This window comes from Homo sapiens, chromosome 3, assembly GCF_000001405.40.
Source record: "Homo sapiens chromosome 3, GRCh38.p14 Primary Assembly".
NCBI classification, from domain to species: Eukaryota; Metazoa; Chordata; class Mammalia; order Primates; family Hominidae; genus Homo; species Homo sapiens.
In genome coordinates this window covers 176544789-176565915 of record NC_000003.12, presented here as the reverse complement: position 1 = coordinate 176565915, position 21127 = coordinate 176544789, and the positions used below count along the sequence as shown (strand labels likewise).

General features: G+C 39.1%; 1 long non-coding RNA gene across 1 annotated transcript; it reads right to left on the bottom strand.

The window, feature by feature from the left end:
- Positions 1 to 634: 634 nt before the first annotated feature.
- On the bottom strand, positions 635 to 20882 carry LOC105374230 (uncharacterized). Its single transcript, XR_924734.3, has 3 exons — positions 20795 to 20882; positions 6976 to 7195; positions 635 to 855 (listed from the first exon to the last, which is right to left on the bottom strand). It is a non-coding gene; the product is annotated as an uncharacterized LOC105374230 (long non-coding RNA).
- Positions 20883 to 21127: the final 245 nt, after the last annotated feature.

The window sequence follows — 21127 nt, the reverse complement described above, 5'->3', positions numbered from 1 at the left end:
CTTGTGATAGATCCTTGATGAGGCACATAAAGAACTGATGTAGGTAGACTGATAAGACAGATGCCATCAATAAATGCCTTCCCCAAAATACTTGCCTGTCACAAGTTAATTTGAAGCAGTATTTTCTGTCATGAGGGTGGATTAATTTTGTCCATTTTCTCCTCTTGTCGTAATTCTTGTCATGTGCATAAGAATGTATTATAAAGAAGAACACACTAGACATTATAATTCTGTGATAACTCATTTTTGTGACAAAGAATATAATGAGACCAGACAATAGTGCAAATTCATCATATTCTTACAGTGAACTTAATATTGACTTCCTGGCTTCTTTTCATGATTTCGAGGGCATGTCACTTATGGTTTTATACCAACCAAATGATTAAAGGAACCGCCATTCAAAGACTTGTACTGATTACAAAAGCCTTTTCAACAGGGAAATAAGAGAATCATTTTGATTTTCTTTCCTTTCCAGCTTAAACACATATTTAATGTATATCTGTGATTTCATTTTGATGAAGAAAGACTCCTTGATTTGATAAAGTTACTCAGAAAATGTTATAAACTGGAAGATTGGACTGCATCTATCATTGGAAAACGGTGAATTTTCTCAATAAATCACTATTATAAGTCATAGAGGAAAAACAAAGTTTTACTATAAAGAACCTTTTTGAAATGCTCTCCATATTTTGTGCCAGTAGCTAAGGCAAATCAATCACTTTTAACATGGTCTGTAGCTGCAGTTAGGAAGTTCTATTCAGGAAATACCTCCCTAGTGAACAATTTTTTTAAAACTTTCCTCTATTTGTGCTGCTTTCACCTTAACTCCATGGATGATTCTTCCGTTTCTTCTCTCTGTGTTGGAAAAAAAGGAGAAGCAATTACACAGAAACAGTCTCTCCTTTTGTACAACTTCAGGCAAACATTTAAACAGAAACAGAGAAGACAGACTCTGTAGGGAATATTGGAGCTAGAAGAACAGTCTACTACATAGAAATGCCATGTAACTAACACAGTGTTACCATTCCTATACTCAATATGGTCAGTGAAAATCATACATAATCATTTTTTTTATTCTGAGTTCAAATAGCTCCTCAGAATCCTCCTTAACACAAGCACTAGAAATGAGTTGGTGATAATTGATTTTGTCTCAAGAGTTGAGGTCTACTTATTATTCTTGCCATGAGATTCACTATCTATGTGATTAGTACATGGACATTGTTAAATAAATGCTTATTGAATGGGTGATGAAATGTTTCAAATTTACAGAGAAAAAAATTCTACAGCCACATAATTGGGGTCTCATTTACCTTGTGGCCTAAAATAAGAATGCTCCCATCAACAACATCCTTTGCTATTGGACTCTGTGTTGCAGGAAGTCAGAGACCCCAAACGGAGGGACCGGCTGAAGCCATGGCAGAAGAACATGGATTGTGAAGATTTCATGGACATTTATTAGTTCCCCAAATTAATACTTTTATAATTTCTTATGCCTCTCTTTACTGCGATCTCTAAACATAAATGGGGGCCAGATATCAGGGAATCTGCCCTGATATTCACGTAGGTTCTTTTCTATTTTCCTTAAGCATCGGCCAGCTTGAGAAATAAAGGGACAGAGTACAAAAGAGAGAAATTTTAAAGCTGGGCATCTGGGGGAGACATCACATGTCGGTAGGTTCCGCGATGCCCCACAAGCCTCAAAAACCAGCAAGTTTTTATTAGGAATTTTCAAAAGGGGAGGGAGTGTGCAAATAGGTATGGGTCACAGACATCAAGTACTTTACAAGGTAATAGAATATCACAAGGCAAGTGGAGGCAGGGTGAGATCACAGGACCACAGGACCGGGGCGAAATTAAAATTGCTAATGAAGTTTCAGGCACCATCATTATTGATAACATCTTATCAGGAGACAGGGTTTTGAGAGCAACCGGTCTGACCAAAATTATTAGGCGGGAATTTCCTCTTCCTAATAAGCCTGGGAGCGCTATGGGAGACTGGGGTCTATTTCACCCCTGCAGTCTCCACCATAAGAGACAGGCACACCCGGGGGGGGGGGCTGTTTATAGGCCTATACCTCCAGGCGTGTATTCTCTTTCCCAGGGATGTTCCTTGCTGAGAAAAAGAATTCAGCGATATTTCTCCCATTTGCTTTTGAAAGAAGAGAAATATGGCTCTGTTCCGTCTGGCTCACCAGCAGTCAGAGTTTAAGGTTATCTCTCTTATTCCCTGAACAATTGCTGTTATCCTGTTCTTTTTTCAAGGTGCCCAGATTTCATATTGCTCAAACACACATGCTGTACAATTTGTGCAGTTAACCCAATTATCACATGGTCCTGAGGCGACATACATCCTCCTCAGCTGACAGGATTAAGAGACTAAAGTAAAGACAGGCATAGGAAATCACAAGGGTATTGACTGGGGAAGTGATAAGTGTCCATGAAATCTTTACAGTTTATGTTTAGAGATTGCAGTAAAGACAGGCATAAGAAATTATAAAAGTGTTAATTTGGGGAACTAACAAATGTCCATGAAATCTTCACAATCCACGTTCTTCTGCCATGGCTTCAGCCGGTCCCTCCGTTTGGGGTCCCTGCCTTCCAGGAACAACTCTGTTTACAGAAGATGATGATCTCACCTAAAAACTCATGTGGAAAACTATTTGGACACCTGTGTTTATATACATGAAATCTATACATATTATAAGTATTTGCATAAACATAAATTCACTCACAGTATAGTGTAATGGAAAGAACTGTGAGGCTTTGCTTCTGCTTCTCCCTCTCTCAACCTTGGGTCTCAATTTTTTCAGCTGTAAAATTCAAGCACTGGATTTTCCTTTTTAATTCTATTCTTCTTTATTTCTACACACATGTACAAAACCAATTGTAAGACAAACCAATACATTTCACTTGTCCTGATTTCATGGACTTATTTTTATCTGAGAGAAAAAAGTAGACATTTTACTTGAATTTTTTTTTTTGCCAAGAGGCTTTGATGGAAATGTCAAAACCCAGTGTGTGATTTTTTCCTTTTTCTAATTACAATTACCTGTAGCAAAAATATGCAATAATATTATTTCCTTGTTAGAACCTAGAGATTCCATTCTGATGTTGAGATTGGAATATCTCCAGCCTCTTGTGAAGTGAAGTACAAAGAATATATGTTCTGGCTGAGGCAGAATTTTTCCAGATAGAGACCCACTCTCAAGTCTCCTGGAAGATCTGCTGCCTTCTGAGAACAAAAGGCCTAATCTAATGTGGAGCCTCACAAATGGTGCTCACACAGGAAGCCCAAGTTACCCAATGGGGGAGCAGCTAATTGGCCAGACATTCTTGGAATGAATTTAGCTGCTGGTTGGCAGGTGGGGTACATTGTAAAGCACCACATCCAGGCTGTACTGTAATTTGTTTTTAATTACTGTGTTTGCTTGGGAAAGGCTGTAAGGTCTACTCATCGCTCACATTGGTATGCTAATTGACTATTGGGAGATTTACAAACTGGGTTTTACACAGTGTCCTTTTCTACTGCCTGTGGTGATCTGAATAGCATGTTATTTATTTAGATCTCCTGAAACTTTAAGTTTGAATATTTCAAATAAAGATAAAAGAGCAAACTTATCTCTTATTTCAACTGATAAAGACTGTAAGAATATATTACCCTTTAAGCATGTATTTGATTTCATTTTGTTTCCTGGCTTAAAAAGTGGAATATTTTTGTGTGAAATGCTCGTGGATGTCCACAACTAAATACTGATTTAAGTGCACACTCTTATGGCCCAGGGAGGTGGGAGGTGAGGTGGGGGTGAGAAGAGCAGCCAGGCTGCAAGAGAAACCAAGCAAATGGCAAGCCAGGTGTCTGCCCAGCAGGAAGCATGCCCAGGAGCAAAGTATGGGAGCTCAAAGTGGGTCAGATGGGGTTCAGGGGAGCACAGGTGCTGGGCAAATCCATGCCCACAACCTGGAAGCAGTCGTGGATCAAGCTGGGATGAAAGAGAAGAGACACAGAAATGACCTATGAGAATTACAAGGAGCTATTCAGAACTGGGTCAATCAGAGGATGCGCTGAAGGCAGGTGAGGGAGAAGGTGTGCATACAAGTCATAAGGGCTGTGTAAAAATCTCCAGATGTTGAACCTGAGAGCAGAGGATGTGTTGTTTATAATTGTGTCTCCAGGGCCTCCAAGATGTTGGGGTAGTGGTGAGGAACAGACACAAATTGCCAGAAATCTAAGGAGTCCTGTTGAGTTTGTTGCATTTGTAGTGATATAAAATTCCTGGTATAAAATGTTTAATATCAAAATCCCATGTTAAATATTTAGCCTCTCTGTACTTCCTGGGGTGGGGGCGCATTTTTTTTGTTTAACCAGGTGCACTCTAGTTCAGCCTTTGTTGGTCTACAATAGTCCTGGCATATAGGTGGTGCCTAATGAGTTTCATCTAATATTTATTTTAATAAAGACAAGTTTTTCTTTCTGCACTGTTTTGGTCCTAAATCTTAAAGATGTAAATGGTGCCTCTGTACCCATACAAACTCTACAGAAGCAGTACAAGGTTGAGTTTAGAACCTTTCTGTGAAATGTGGGTACCATCTCATGTTGACTTGGCAAATCTAAATATTTTTGCTTTATCCTATTTGAGTGATGGGTATGGGTTACGTTTTCTGCATAATTATATGAACTTTTATTTAGTCATTGTCTATACTGCTAAGAAGTTATTGTTGCACTGGGGTACTAGCTGAAACACAATATTATAAGGCCAAGGGGCCAGGAATTCTGACCTTAGCCAAAAGTACCCACTTTAAACAGAAAGATAAATGTCTACACCCGTGTGCTTAATAATATTTATCTTTTTTGAAAATGTCACCCCTAAAAACGTGACTAAATCACTGCTACTGAAGCCACACTTCCTCCTAGGTAGGGATGGGATGGTGGGGTGGGGTTGATGTTGCATAGGGTTAAGAGCGGCAAGTAAGATTTCCCTGTGTTTAGTTTACAGCTCTACCACTTACTAGTGTTATGACATGAGTCAAGTTATCTCATCTGTAAATGGGGTTAGTAATAGCACTTACCTCATAGTGTTGGTGTGAAGATTGATGTGTATATGTTATTATGCATAATGCTCTTAGAACAGTATTAGATCCACAGTAAATACTACATAAGTGTTTGTTATCCTCAACAAAATTCTGTTTATAATAGTAATTATTAACTGTGACTCATACTCGAGAGGAGGAAGGTGAACGAAGGATAAAATGACAGAAACTTTGTTCCCAAGGATCAACTAATATAATAGTGGATAGGATGAAAATGGAAACATTCATTCCAAGCAATTTTCTTTCTGCTCAGACATTTAACAAATATTTTATTTTCTGTCCAGGTGTTTGATAATATGGTGAATATAATTTACACATTTTTATGAATGAGATGATATAGTCATTAGACCACGCTGGAAAATGATTACTTATATACAGATCTATTAATACCCTGTGATTTTCTTAAACAGTAGGCATAATAATCAGACTGTGCTTTCATAAGTGTAATTATAAAACAATATTGACGAAGAAGTCAAGACTGGTGCAATTAACACAAAATGGTAGTAACTAAGAATATTGTAATCTACTGACAACTATAAAGCAAATTTATTCCACTGAAACAAGAAAAGAGATCTAAAATGAAAGTGTACATGGAGGATCCTCAATGCTGAAGCAAAATTTGGATTGCCAAGTAGCCAAAGTGGATCATCTAAGTGTAACGACGACTCTGATAAAGCCATTATCAGATCTTTGCTGAGGTATATTAACCCAAAGCCAAACTGTGACATCATAATCAACATACCCATCTTTATGATTTCTTCCTGGGATTGCCTTCTATTGTTTGAAATCACACTTAATCTTTCCACAATAGGGGGTCGATATGCAATTGTGAATTCCTAAATAACACTGGTTTACTCTCTAATTTCATCTAAGAGAAACATTTTATAAAATAATATTCAGATTCCATGCAGAAAAAAATGGAATACACAATAAAGTGTCGACAGGGGGTTTCAGCATTTCATATGGGGTGTCATACTGAATATTAAAATGCAATGTAATAATAAAATGTGTAGAAGAGATGAAATGATGGCGTTGTGCTAAATAACTTAGAGAAAAAAAGACTACTTCACCTTAGACTGCTACTTTTTATTTATAGCTTCAACTGATATCTTGGCTTCAATCGCAGAATCTCTAGTTAGTTTGCAGAGATGGTTCTATAAACCTCCTGGGGGAAGGGAAACGGCCTACTCTGATTGGTCCACCAATAGGAGACTAACTCAAGGAAGAAAAGGAGGGAAGATGAAGAAAATTTGTCAGCAATGTGTAAGGTGGAACAAAAATTTTCTGAGGGAAATGTGTGTAAGGGCAAGATCAGTTTAAAGACTAAGAATTTGGAGGACAATGGAGGGGCAAGATGATAAGCTAAGCCTACAGAAGAAAAATAGGAGACTGCTGCATTCTGAGCAGAGCTGGCTTAGAGAAGAAAAGTTCAAACTGGATATACAGTATTTTAATGTCATAGACCAAAGAGGGGGGACATGGCAATACAATACCTGTATAGCTATTTGTTCATAGCTACATTAACAGAATACATGGCATTTGCAGAATATCATGGCTTAGAATAAAACAAAGCAAAACATTATTTAGTTAAATAAACTTGAGACTAGACACACCTAGTCATAATATGCTTGCACTAAGAATATGTGTAGATTATATATTTTGTTGCGTATGTGACTAGATTTTTAATATATACAGTTATACTATATTTTATATTATATAATACATAGTATATTACATTATTCTATCCATCATTTTTAAGATTATTTCCATGAAAATAAAAAACTGTTAAAAAGGGTTATTAAAAAATGTCTGTAGAGCAGTCATTTCTGCATGGACGGAGCATGCTTAGTTAAATTGAATTTGAGGATCAAATCCTGTCAACTTTACCTTTAAAGTATATCCGGAGGCTGATTGCTTTTCACCCCTCCCATGCTGGTACCTTGATTATGGTGACAACCTTCTAACTGGTCTCCCTGTTTCTACCTCATTCCTAACATCACAGCCAAAGAGGTGTCTTGAAAACGGAAGTCCTGTTATGCTGCTCCTCTGCTCATAGGCTAATGGCTCTTCATCTCATTCAGAGACCAAGTCCCTGCATGGCCAGCACCTGCAGAAACAGAGCCCCACAGTAAGACCCAGCAGCTCCACAGAAGCTCGCTTACATGATATAGCCTTTGCATCTATATGATATAAAAATCACTTTGTTTCACTGGATAATTCACTTCAAAGAGGTTGGAAATCAACCATTTTGCTTCCCGAGTTTCACAAACCTGGACCTAATTTCTGGCATTATGTTCACCATAACACAATTCTATTAGAATATAGCCATATGGTAGTTTCATGAAATTTGTCATAATTGAATTTTATCTGTTATTATACTTTGTGCTGTAGTTTAATGATTTTTTATTTTACCTGTACCTATTGCTACCTTGCGGTTAAGAGTTCCAAACTGACTTTTTAAAAAGATGAAATAAAATATTAAAAATATTTTGAGAATGGAAAGTTCAAGATGGACATGTTTTGCTGTAGGAATTTTAATTTTTAAATTGTGAGAAGATGTACTTTTAACTTACAGTGACCCAAGTAGCTTAAAATAGAGAGAGATACTTTGAACTGATTCTTTGAATATGCTTTCACATAAAGGGGAGAAGTAACATTTATAATTGATGAGAATGCAGCATTGTGTAAGTACTAAAAAACTTTTGGACCAGATACAGTGTTTCCCAAATGTAATGTTCATTGTTAAAATGAAGATTCAAGGTCATGCCTTAGAAATTCTTATTTAGAGTTGGAGTGGGGCTCAAAAATATGTTTATTTAAAAGTATTCCCTGGACCTTAGCTGGGCATGCTCACAACGGTAATCCCAGCACTTAGGGAGGCAGAGGCAAGAGGATTACTGGAGCCCAGGAGTTCAAGACCAGCCTGGGCAACATAGCAAGAACTTGCTCTATTAAGAAAAATTTTTTAAAAATTAAATAAATAAATACAGTAGAAGTAATCCCTGGACCTCATTTTTAGGAACTCTGGAATAAGCTTAAAGACAAGAAAATGGGGTCTTGTCTTGATAAGGAACTACAGTGCTATGTGACCTTGGACATGTCATGTTCTGTCTCTTTTCAGTTTTTTCATCTATGATATTTGCAATTTACATTTGTATATAAATTTTATGGAATTTAAACATTGTTCCCAGTATTGTCTAATTTAATCTTTCTAGCATTTTGTAAGCCATTTTTGTTGCCATTTTCTAGAAAAAAATTCAAGTTTCAGAAAGGTTAACCCAGATCAGTGATAGACGGCAGATCAGTGACAGAGCCAGGGTGAGAAATCTGGCTACTTTTTTCCTTGTTCTATGCCTGTCATTGTACTTCAGATGCAAAAGAAAGAGTAGATTCAGATTATATGTAAGTTTCCTTCTAGTTAAATTCAGCCAGTTTAGATAGATACAGGATTATTTTCAGCCTATATTTCCACTATAGCAGTGTTCAAATCCAAACAGTTATGATTCTAGTTAAATTGATAGCTGAAATACATTAAAGATGGAGCTAACCCATTTTTTAGTTTACACTATTCTGTTTTATTAATCACTGGGCTATACAGATGGCTTTACTTGATGATCAATTCCATGGGTTGGCATGGGACTTTTGTGGAATGAGAGGCAATGAAAAGAGAAGGAATCAACAGAAGTAAATTAACTCTCACACTATGAAATCCCTGAGGAAGTTGTAGCAGATTTCTCCTTAGAATACACATTAATATTAGTTTCATGACTGGAGAGAAGCAACAGTAGCTTCACCGTGCTCACCTGTGTTTTGACAAAATGTGACATAGGGCAAAAGAGTAGGGATGATGAGAGATCAAGTAGTACTTGTCTTAATTGCACATCTAACTGTGGGGAATGTGATGTCTATGCACCCACAAGCAGGCTTCCTAATCCTGATGTACAGGGTTGGACACAGCCTCCTCTCAGGGCAGGATCCTTTCAGCAGAAGCAGATGTTCTATCTCTGTGGGAATGGTGCTCCCAAGGGAACAGGAGGTGGGAGAAGATGAGCTATGCAGGTCACTTCACTAAATAGGTAAGTCGCTCCTTCTCCTTGGAGACAAGTAAGAATAGGGCAAGAGGCAAGGAGGTTTGGAGGGAAAATTCCCCCTTATACAAACTGTAGGAGTGGGGCATCAACATTTCCCCTCTAATGATTGCATTCATCTAATAGCTGTCTTGGTGACTTGCAATGGAAATGAAAATCTTGAGTAGAATTTGAAGGGTAAGTTTTTGGTGAAGGAAACCTTTCTGTGTCCTCGTTCTCAGATATGAACTTCGGTATCTGGTTTATTTTACCTGCTCTGAGGTGAAAGATTCTGCTGTTTTCACACACTGTATTTCCCTCTTTTTAGAGGCTCCCTCGAGGAAACCTGCCTGCACTCTAACTTGAGATTCCAGGCCATTACATCCAGCACGTTCTCTCCCTGGCCCACCCTTGCACGCATTGTTCCATAATCAGAAAGAATCCTCATGTCCTCAGCAGACAGAAATAGAAGGGCTGTATTTTTGAGAGTTTACTAAGTTGAAGACTTGTCTGGTGGCATTGTTGATATTTTATTTTCAGAAATAGAAGAGCATCTAATTTGAAGGGATAGAGAGTAAACAGCATTGCGCAAAACTGGCATCATATTAAGTCTGCCCAGTAAGAGCCCACTGAGTGACAGTGGCTAGAGAGAGCACTATGGTAACCTAGGAAATAAGAAGTTAGAGTGTCAGGCAACAGAGAAAATCAAATTATTGTCAACTTGCTATAGGAACTCTGTTCAAGCAAATATGTCATGCCGCCAGTGGCAGACATTTAAAAAGCCATGCCTCTGAGTAAATATATTGCTTGGCTACTCCCCTAAAGTATTTTCACTTTTAATCTCAACTCCAAGGTTTTCTACCCCTGTTTCTGCTCCTGTTCTTTGTTACCACAGATCCCCCTTCTACCACTGCTAGAATAGATTCCATGTTCAAGGTTCATAGGACAGCAGAGCTGAAAGCAATCTGAACATTTCTATTCCAACAGCCTCATTTTACAAAAGGAAACGGACTCTCAATGACATTAATTAATTTGTTCACATTCTCCCCCCAAAGCAGCAGCATTGCCGGTGGTAGAACCCAGCATTCCCAATCAGCCACTGACAATAAAAGAAGGTCACAGAATTACCTTATAGCAACTGTTTTCTATTTTTCCCTTCTATCATTTTAACATTTGAAAAGCTATCTAGTTTGAAAGAAACCGTAATCCTTTATAGCAGCTTCTAGGATTGATATTTCTGGAGATGCTTTGAGCTGTCCTTATAGGAACTACTTGTTATCATACCATTGTGGTTGTCGTTAATCACTATGTGCTTGGCACTGTGCTAAGTGCTTCACAGATCTAATTTCATTTAACCTTCACAACTATGTTCCAAGAATCTTACAGAGGTTAAGTTCTTCAGGAGATACAATGTCAGATCTCATCAAATTCAGTTACAGTTTTTACCTTAGTATCTTAGTGAAGACAACAAAGGAATCATAATTTCCCTTAAAGCAGGGACTCTGACTAATCATAACTGAATCCATCAGATACTGTCAGATAGAGTTCTACTTATTCTGTGAGTGCCAAGTGATATTTATGAGTTGTTCATGAGGAACGGGTGGGGGATGGAGGAGTAGTGTACGTTGTTAAATACATTTGCTTTCGAAATTACCTTGAATGCAGCAGACCTGTGCTCAAGTGAATTGTTAACTGAGTCTATGACCCTGGGCAAGACATTTAATGAGCTGTGGGGTTACGAGTGTTTGTTGAGGCTGTGATACTGATGGCTTACATTCTGAACCTGGATGTTGGAAACTTCACAGAATAGGCCTGAAGGCACATTTTCAAATATCATTTCGAGCTACCACGCATACTGTTCATCACCCGAGTTCCACACAGGGCCCTGTAGTAGATGCTTTAGACACTTTTAATTCTCACGACTGCATTATTGCCACCTTACACAGAAGAACATTGAGACTTAAAGAAGGCTTGTTGCCAAGAGGCTAGTAAATGATAGTTGCTGTTTTCCCCTAGTACGACTTGCTCCAAAGCCTGTTTACGCAGAAAGAACACCACCTCTACCTGTTAGCTCTGCCCCTTCCCACCCTGCCCCCGTAAGTGATCTGTCAAAAACAGTTGGTTTGGAATTTCCTAAACGTGACTTATATATTAAAAGATAAAAATTCCGGAATTCCACAGCTGCTGGCAAAATTGATTTCCTAAAATTTCCCACTTGACTGATCTGTGACTGACATCCCTAGTCATACCAGTTATTTAAGTACTTCATTGAAAGAACACTTATCAGCAATTGCTGTCTGCAAAAGGTGTTAAGTGAGTGTCACTGCTATGACAGCTCACAAGTTCTAAACTGCTTTTATAAACCCATGGCTTGATGTAGCAAAGATGAGTGTTACCAGTTTAAATTTTTCTTCATCAGTAATGTCTGCAGTGACTCATATTGTAACTCAGAGGCATCTAATGGGTACAAACAAGGATGGATGAAGTAAATGCAGTGAAGATGGATCATTTTATATTTTTACAGAAACTGGCTTTGTTCTATTCATCTAGTTAGTGTTTATTCAGTGTTTACTATTTGCTAAGCACTGGGAGTAGGTGCTTTGCTAGCACTAGATGCTAAGGGGAATATGAACAATTATTAGACATTGTTCCTTCTATACGTTTATATCCTAGATGGTGTGAAAATACACACATATACACACACACAGCCATAGCTTATATGTGATTTACTCAGAAAAATTTTCAAGAATTTCAGGCCACACATAAATATACAAAATCATTCAATCCTCACAACAGCTCTATGAAACAGGTATCATCAACCCTGTTACAGTGAAAAAAACTGAGACTGAGAGAAGTTAGGGAATACAGCAAGGATGTTGACTTGAACTTAAGACTTCTAACTATAGGTCTTTGCCCTTTCTATTATTCTACCTCATCACACAATACTATGGCTTTCAATGAGTGAATAGAATTAAGTGCTTTGGAAATTTAGAATAGGGAAAAATTCTTGCAGGTCAAGATACTTGGTCTTGGGTGAAGTGCAAGACTCAGACAGATGAAGAGGAGGGAGAAGGGTGCATTCCAAAAAGAAGATTCAAGAACAATGTCTAATAGAAATATGAACAAGATGTGTTCAGGGCAATACATAAGCCAAAGTGAAGGGAATAGAGAATTGATGTCAAACAGGGTCAAAGATGATTTAGAGAGACAGTGGGGTCAGACTATGGTGACCCATAGAAGGCAGTTAATCAAACTCTGAGCTTCACTATGCCTTGGAAGTCCCTGAGGGTCGAAGTAATGTCTTCTCTCTGTCTCTCCTCTATTTCCCTCAGCTGAAACAAATGATTTTCTTGTTTTAAAGGTCAGTTTTAGTCTTCAGGACGCTCTCACTGTTATGATTTGGATATTATTTTTTCAAAGAACTCCTAGAGCATAAATCTTCATCCTGCAAAATTGATTACTTAATAAGGTTCTGAATTTTGTTTTTACCTAATTGTTTTAATTGAACTTGTTTTATGACTTCAGCCAGACAATAAACATCTGGAAAGCTGGGACTACGTCTTATTAGAAGCTATAGAGACTACCTTTAAAAATGCATGTCATAAAATAGTGATAAAATATATTTAGGAACAAAGAATCAAGTGCAGGAAAATTATAAATTGGGGTGGGTGGTAAAAAAAACAAGCACGCTTCAAGATGATAATATGATTTGTTATAAATGCTAAATTGAAAGGGAGCAAGGGGGGGTATCACGATTTTTTACCATCTGCTGTATTTTGGCTCTGTGTCCCCACCCAAATCACATCTCAAATTGCAGTCCTCACATGTAGAGGGAGGGACCTGGTGGGAGGTGATTGGATCATGGGGGTGGTTTCCCCATGCTGTTCTTGTGATAGTGAGAGAATTCTTACAAGGTCTGATGGGTTAAAAGTGGCAGTTTTCCCTGTGTTCTCTCTCTCTCTTGCCACCTTGTGAAGAAAATGTTTCTTCCCCTTTGCCTTCTGCCATGACTGTAAGTCTCCTGAGGCCTCCCAAGCCATGTGGAACTGAGAGTCAACTAAGCCCTTTTTGTTTATAAATTACCCAGTCTCAGGTAGTATCTTTTTAGCAGTGTGAAAACTAATACACCATCAAAGAGGAATAAATCTTTAAAAATAGGAAGAAACATATTATATCATCAAACAGCACTTTTTTTAGCAACTGCTTTTAAAGGATTAATTTTGACCTATATCAATGTACATTATTTAACACATTCAAAAAGTACTGTTCCAGTTATCAATCTGTTGTCTCTCAGCTCCAAATTCACCCTTCATTGTCTGCAATGCAAAGCCAGAAATGGACTGTGTAAGCACTTCTCCTTTGCCAGCAAGTGTGGTGGTAAATGTTAAATGTTGTCTGGAGAGTGCTCTGGAGAGCCACTGGAGAAGGCAGAGGTTTCTCTTCCTGGCTCTTCCCTGCTCCTCTCAGTAACCTCCTGCAGAACGTGTCATGTTGCTTTCTAAAAGCAGCTTCTCATAACATTTCAGAGAGCAGCTTCCCAGAAAGTCCCATTGGTGTGGCTTCTCCCTGTGGATGGCTTCCTCTGGCACCTCTTTGGGCAACTTGACAGTGAATTCCAAGGAGCATAGACAGCTTCCCTGGTACCCCTCATGTGGCTTCACAGTGAGTCATGAAGCATGGCACCTCCCTGTGGATGGCTTTTCCCAGCACCACCCCTTCCAAGTAATTTCTGAGGTACCTTCTCATGGGTACAACTTCTGGAACCCCAGAGAGCAGTTCCTGGTGAGTGCCACTTTTGTGGCATCACCCTGAAGATGCCTTCCCAGAGGGTGTCTTCAGAGTGAGTCTCACTGATGCAAACTTTTATGCCACACAGTAGGCCACAGCTGTACCTTCTAACAGAAGGTCTGGGGTTCAGCCCTGAGGCGGATGCATCTTCCAGATTTCTTCCTACCTTGGGTTCTCTACCTCAGCCTTAGGGGTAATGGCTGCTTGAGTGTCCTTTTCACACTTTAGTAGCTAATTCCCTATTACAATTTTTTTTATATTGAAATTTCCCTGTTCAACTCACTGCGTATTTTCTTTCTCCTAATTGGACTTTGACTGCAACAAGTGCTGAAACCTTCAGAAAAACAATAGCAGGCCGTACTCCAACCATCTTTTACCACTCATCCCTACTCCCCAGAGATAATACTTTAAAACATTTATATACTTAGCTCCACATTTCTACATAAGATACTTATACTGTTATTTCTTGATTTATCAACTTTAGACATTATCCATTTTTATATTTATCCAATCATCCCAATGATTATAGTAATATCTTTTTTGTTAAATTAATAATCATTACTTTATTATAACTATATAATTATTATTTACCATTCAGCCAACTTAAGTTCCATGATTATATTTTCTTTCTAGTCTGATTCTTTAAAAAATATTTAGTTTTGGAGATACCAATTGCCTTGGCTATTATCTTTTTAGAATTTGTAACACTTATTTTCATTTTTAAAATGCTTTGAGAGATCTGCCAAATATTTATTAGGGGTTGTTTTCCACAGTCACATATGGATGAGTTCATCTTTTAAATTCATTTTTCTACAGAGTCACTATAGTATTACACATATAGAAACCATTAAGGAATATCTTTGCCATCTGATTTCTAATTCTGATATTGACCCACACCAGGAATGTGACTACAGATATATATTTTTAAGTATGTTGTGCTTAATTTTTTTTTTCTACAAAGTGAAGAGAATGAAGTTTTAACTCTATGAGGTACTCTATGAGTTAGCTCTTGGATTCATGGATCCCTAATTTGTCTATTGAGTTATAACCTCTGCTCTAGGACTAAGTTAACTTCTTAGTATTAGCTGATTTTAAGTCAGTTTAACCCAGGAGTTTTGGCTACCTCTCAGAAACTTTGTAAAGACATTACATGTTGTGTTCCCTAGAGCCACCTACCCTAGGTGGGAGAACTGGTATTTTTTTGTCTCTGCTCTTAGCCTATTCACACTGATAAAAACTAACCACTGTCAACATTTCTCTGAGCTATATGTCAATATAATTCTGCCTATATGACTTTAACTGTATTTCTTAAACTTACATTAAGCACTTGGTTATTGAAAGTATTACGCTGCATGATAGAGTAGTTTCTTCACTTAATGGAGGACAGTGCTATAAACACTGTGTAGAAGTTATATGATCAAGAATCCCTGAAAATGTTCTTACCTCATCTGTTTGTATATTCAGCAAATACTGTACATTTTAAGTGTCTGTGTCTTCTGGTACTTTTCTCAGTTCTGGGGAGGCAATAGTAAGCAAAAATACACAGCCACAGAGCTTACTGTTAGCAGCAGAGATAAACAATATCAAATAATCACATGAAGGAGTCTGTTGGCAACCATAATAAGTAATACAAGCTGGTGCATGGGGTGCGAACTTTACTTCGGGAGGGCTGCACTTAGGGAGGTCACAAGAGGCTTCACTGAGGAAATCATCCTGGAGCTGAGACCTGAAGGATGAGTAGGAGTTAATGAGGCAATAGGGGAGGGAAGAGTCCTCCATTCAGAGAAAACTGTGTTTAAAGACCAATGGCAGGGACAGTACAGCCAGAACAAGGGACACAAAGGACTGTGTGATTGGGAGCAGGGAGCAAGGAAGGGTGGTGTATGATGGTGCTGAACAAGCAAGTGAAGGCAGGGCATTGCAGAGCCTCACAGGCCTGCCAAGTATTGTGTTTATCCCAAGGAGAAGGGGAGCCATTGAAAGATTTTAGGCTGAAGCAAGGGAGCAGCAGCCCATTGTTGAGATTTCCACCTTGGAGCCAATTTCTGAGGCAGTCCTGGTGAGAATAAACTGGAGGGGGTCAGAGTGGACTCAGTCGGGCCAGTTAGGAGGCTTTTAACACAGAATTAAATATTTTAAATGTAAGATATTTTGCCTCAATTTTAATTGATGCCTGCTGTGTCTTTAAAAATTATTATTTCCCACACGGAACTTTTGTTGCCCTCTGGCCTTGACATCTCCCAAATATTTGTCCTTCTTTATTGGTTGGGTCTATTGCCAGCTTCTGAACTGTCTTGCTGTAAACAATGGACGCATCCTATGCAGGATAGTAATTGCAATGTAAAACCCAAATCCTTCCCTTTAGTCACAAACTGGACATGAATTCCTAACAGCCAGGCAACTGCAGAAAGTGTACTGAGGCACAGTTGAACCAGGATTTTATATCTCCTTGATGAACAAATTGGCTTACCACACTGTCAGTCTGATTGTTTTCCTCTCAGCCAATTACTAAGACAACAGAAAATTGCAAATCCACTTAGCCAGTGAATTTGGCCATGTCATAGAGACTTGGTAATAAACTCTATTTCCAACTGTCTTCATAAAAGATAAACATATAACATTTGAAAATCACTCTGAAGGATGTAGCAAACATTTTTCAAATTTGTTCTGATGACACTGATATTGCTATCATAAAAACTTTAATTATCAGGTTGATATGAATTTATCTTAAGTTGCCTTGATATGGTTTGGCTGTGTCCCCACCCAAATCTCAACTAATTGTATCTCCCAGAATTCCCACAAGTTGTGAGAGGGACCCAGGGGGAGGTAACTGAATCATGGGGGACAGTCTTTCCCTTGCTATTCTCGTGATAGTGAATAAGTCTCACGAGATCTGAAGGGTTTATCAGGGGTTTCTGCTTTTGCTTCTTCCTAATTTTTCTCTTGCCACCACCATGTAAGGTCTTTTGCTTCCCACCATGATTCTGAGGCCTCCCCAGCTATATGGAACTGTAAGTCCAATTAAACCTCTTTTCGTCCCAGTCTCAGGTATGTCTTTATCAGCAGCATGAAAATGGACTAATACAGTAAATTGGTACTGGGAGTGGGACATTGCTAAAAAGACACCCGAAAATCTGGAAGCGACTTTGGAACTGGGTAACAGGAAGATGTTGGAACAGTTTGGAGGGCTCACAAGAAGACAGGAAAATGTGGGAAAGTTTGGAACCTCCTAGAGACTTGTTGAATGGCTTTGACAAAAATGCTGTTAGTGATATGAACAATAAAGTCCAGGCTGAGGTGGTCTCAGATGGAGATGAGGAACTTATTGAGAACTGGAGCAAAGGTGACTCTTGCTATGTTTAGCAAATAGACTGGAGGCATTTTGCCCCTGCCCTAGAGATTTGTGGAACTTTGAGCTTGAGAGAGATGATTTAGGGTATCTGATGGAAGAAATTTCTAAGCAGCAAAGCATTCCAAAGGTGTCTTGGGTGCTGTTAAAAGCATTCTGTTTTAGAAGAGAAACAGAGCAAAAAAGTTCAGAAAATTTGCAGCCTGATGATTCAGTAGAAAAGAAAAATCCTTTTTTTTTTTTTATTTTTTTGAGGAGAAATTCAAGCTGGCTGCAGAAATTTGCAGAAGTAGCAAGGAGCCTAATGTTAATCCTCAAATCATGGGGAAAATGTCTCCAGGCCATGTCAGAGACCGTCTGGGCAGCCCCTCCCATCAAAGGTCCAGAGGCCCAGGAGGAGAAAGTGGTTTCACGGGTCAGGCCCAGGGTTCTTGCGCTGTATGTAGCCTAGGGACTTGATGTCCTGTGTCCCAGCTGCTCCAGCCGTGGCTGAAAGGGGCCAACATAGAGCTCGGGCTGTGGCTTCAGAGGATGCAAGCCTCAAGCCTTGGCAGCTTCCATGTGATGTTCTGCAGGTGAACAGAAGTCAAGAATTGAGGTTTGGGAGCCTCTGCCTGGATTTCAGAAGATGTATGGAAACACCTGGATACCCAGGCAAAAGTTTGCTGCAGGGGCAGGGCCCTCATGGAGAACCTTTGCTAGGCCAATGTGGAAGGAAAATGTGGGGTTGGAGCCCTCACACAGAGTCCCTACTGGGGCACTGCCTAATGAAGCTGTGAAAAGGCCACCATCCTCCAGACCCCAGAATGGTAGATCCACTGACAGCTTGCACCGTGCACCTGGATAAGCTGCAGACACTCAATGACGGCCCGTGGAAGCAGCCAGGAGGGAGGCTGTACCCTGCAAAGCCACAGAGGCAGTGCTGCCCAAGCTCATGGGAACCCATCTCTTGCATCAATGTGACCTGGATGTGAGACTTGGAGTCAAAGGGGAGATAATTTTGGAGCTTTAAAATTTGACTGCCCTGCATGGGCCCTGCAACCCCTTTGTTTTTGCAAATTTCTCCCATTTGGAATGACTGTATTTATCAAATACCTGTACCCCCATTGTATCTAAGAAATAACTAGCTTGCTTTTGATTGTTCAGGCTCATAGGTGGAAGGGAGTTGCCTTTTCTCAGATGAGGCTTTGGACTATGGACTTTTGAGTTAATGCTGAAATGAGTTAAGACTTTGGGGGACTGTTGGGAAGGCGTGACTGATTTTGAAATGTGAGGTAATGAAATTTGGAAGGAGCAGAATGGTATGGTTTGGCTGTGTTCCCACCCAAATCTCAACTTGAATTCTATCTCCCAGAATTCCAACGTGTTGTGGGAGGGACCTAGGGGGAGGTAATTTAATCATAGAGGCCAGTCTTTCCATGCTATTCTCCTGATAGCAAATAACTCTCACAAGATCTGATGGGTTTATCAGGGGTTTCTGCTTTTGCTTCTTCTTCTTTTTCCTCTTGCCGTCACCATGTAAGAAGTGCCTTTCACCTCCCACCATGATTCTGAGGCCTCCCCAGCCATATGGAACTGCAAGTTCAATTAAACCTCTTTTTCTTTCCAGTCTCAGGTATGTCTTCATCAGCAGCATAAAAAGGGACTAATACATGCCTTTTTCTTTGCTTTGCCTCAATTAGAAGACTTTTCCCTTTACGTCTTCAGTGTTGTATGGTAGGGAGAGTGTTTCTACTCACTGGTTAAAGAATATGTTCTTTCTATTTAAGTCACCATAAAGAGGCTCCCTTTAAAATTACAAACTTTCATTGATCTATAAGCCTTAATAAGAACTAGTTCCTGAGGTGTGCCTGAGATAGGTAAACAAAGATTTAAACAGTAGCTAAAACGCAAAAATAAGTTACAATGTGCACTGCTTTATTTCAACCAGAAAACTCAATAGCAAGAAAATCTTTTAATTCGGTGATTACATAGCTTTTTTTTTTTATGGAAGCATGGATTATCACACTACAAATCCTGAACACTAATTCACAAAAATAATTTGTCCATTTTCCTGAAGATGCCCCATACTAGATGTCTACCAGTAAAGAGACTGACTAAACAGCACTCTCCTTAATAAGTTAACAGTGTCAACCACAGGTTCCTCATTTTAAGTTCCAGAAATTGCAGGACTTGGGAAATTGTTATTTGGGAAAGGGTTATGTAGAAAAAGTTCTACCTACTTTCTCTCCTATGGCTTCAGCTACCACCTAGATTCCCATGCTGCCAAAGCACTAGGATAGATCTGAGTCTCTCCTAAGTTCCAGTCCAGTGTTTTTGGAAGTTGATAGAATATGCTACCAGTGACCTAAACTCAACATGTTGAATTCTGAATTTAATCAAAATAATCTGTTCCACTTGAAGGGACATGGATGAAGCTGGAAACCTTCATAATCAGCAAACCAAACACCACATGTTCTCACTCATAAGTGGGAGTTGAACAATGAGAATACATGGACACAGGGAGGGGAACATCACACACCAGGGCCTGTTGGGGATTGTGGGGGCTAGGGGAAGGATAACATTAAGAGAAATACCTAATGTAGGTGACAGATTGATGGGTGCAGCAAACCACCAGGGCACGTGTATACCTATGTAACAAAACTGCATGATCTGCACATGTAACCCAGAACTTAAAGTATAATAATAATAATAGTAAAAAATCTGTTCATTTTCCTGTGCTCGCTATATATATTAACATCATTGTTCACCTTCATCCGCTTTTTTTTTTTTGAAAGAGGGTCTCACTCTGTCACCCTGGCTGGAGTGCAGTGGTGTAATCATGACTTACTGAAGCCTTGACTTCTTAGGCTCAAGCAATCTGTTTGCCTCAGCCCCCCATGTAGCTGGGACTACAGGCATGTACCACCAAACCTGGCTAATTTTTAAATTTTTTGTAGAGACAGGGCCTCACTGTGTTTTCCAGGTGGCTCTTGGACTCCTGGGTTCAAGCAATCTTCCTGTCTTGGCCTCCCAAAGTGCTGGGATTACAGGTGTGAGCCATCGCACCCAGCCTTCATCCATGTTTTGAAGACATTTTCTTTTACTCTTTCCTCTTTCATACTAAAATCCTTCTGCTATTGCCTTTGGAGAAAACCTTCTGAACAGGTTTTTCCATTCACTACAACAGTTATAGTTCTACGTGGTCTTTTTCTCCAGTAGTTTTGAGTTTCTAGAGACTTACTGGTTTCCCTAGGCCAGTCTCTTCTTTCTCTAAATGTATATATTATCATTAGTAAAATTGAACTTAATTTTCGATGCACAATTGTATGAATTTTCACATTTAGACTCCCATACATCACCACATCAGGATACACAGTAGTTCCCTCATGCTCTCGCTTTAAGGCAATATGCGTCCCTACCCCTATCTCTAAACCCTGGCAACCACCCATTCTTCATCCCTGTGGTTTTGTCTTTTTGAGAATGCCATATAAATGGCAATATACTAGCTCCTGATACTTACCATAATCCCTCTGAGATTAATCCAAGTTGTTGCAGGTGTCTACGGTGTGTTTCTTTTTGATGCTGCATTGTACTCCATTGTATGGATATGCCACAATTGGTTTGTCCATTCATCAGCTGAAAGACATTTGGCTTGTTTCCAATTTCTTGTGCTTATAAATAGAGCTTCTACGAAAATTGATCCTGTTAATTTTGGAAAGTAAATTTTCATTTTACTAGTGTAAATCCCCAGCTGAAATTTCTTGATGGCTTCTTATTACTTACAGACCCAAGATTCTTAACATCCAAGACATCCAAATATTCCAGATGTTTCTTAAGCCTTTGTCATGATATA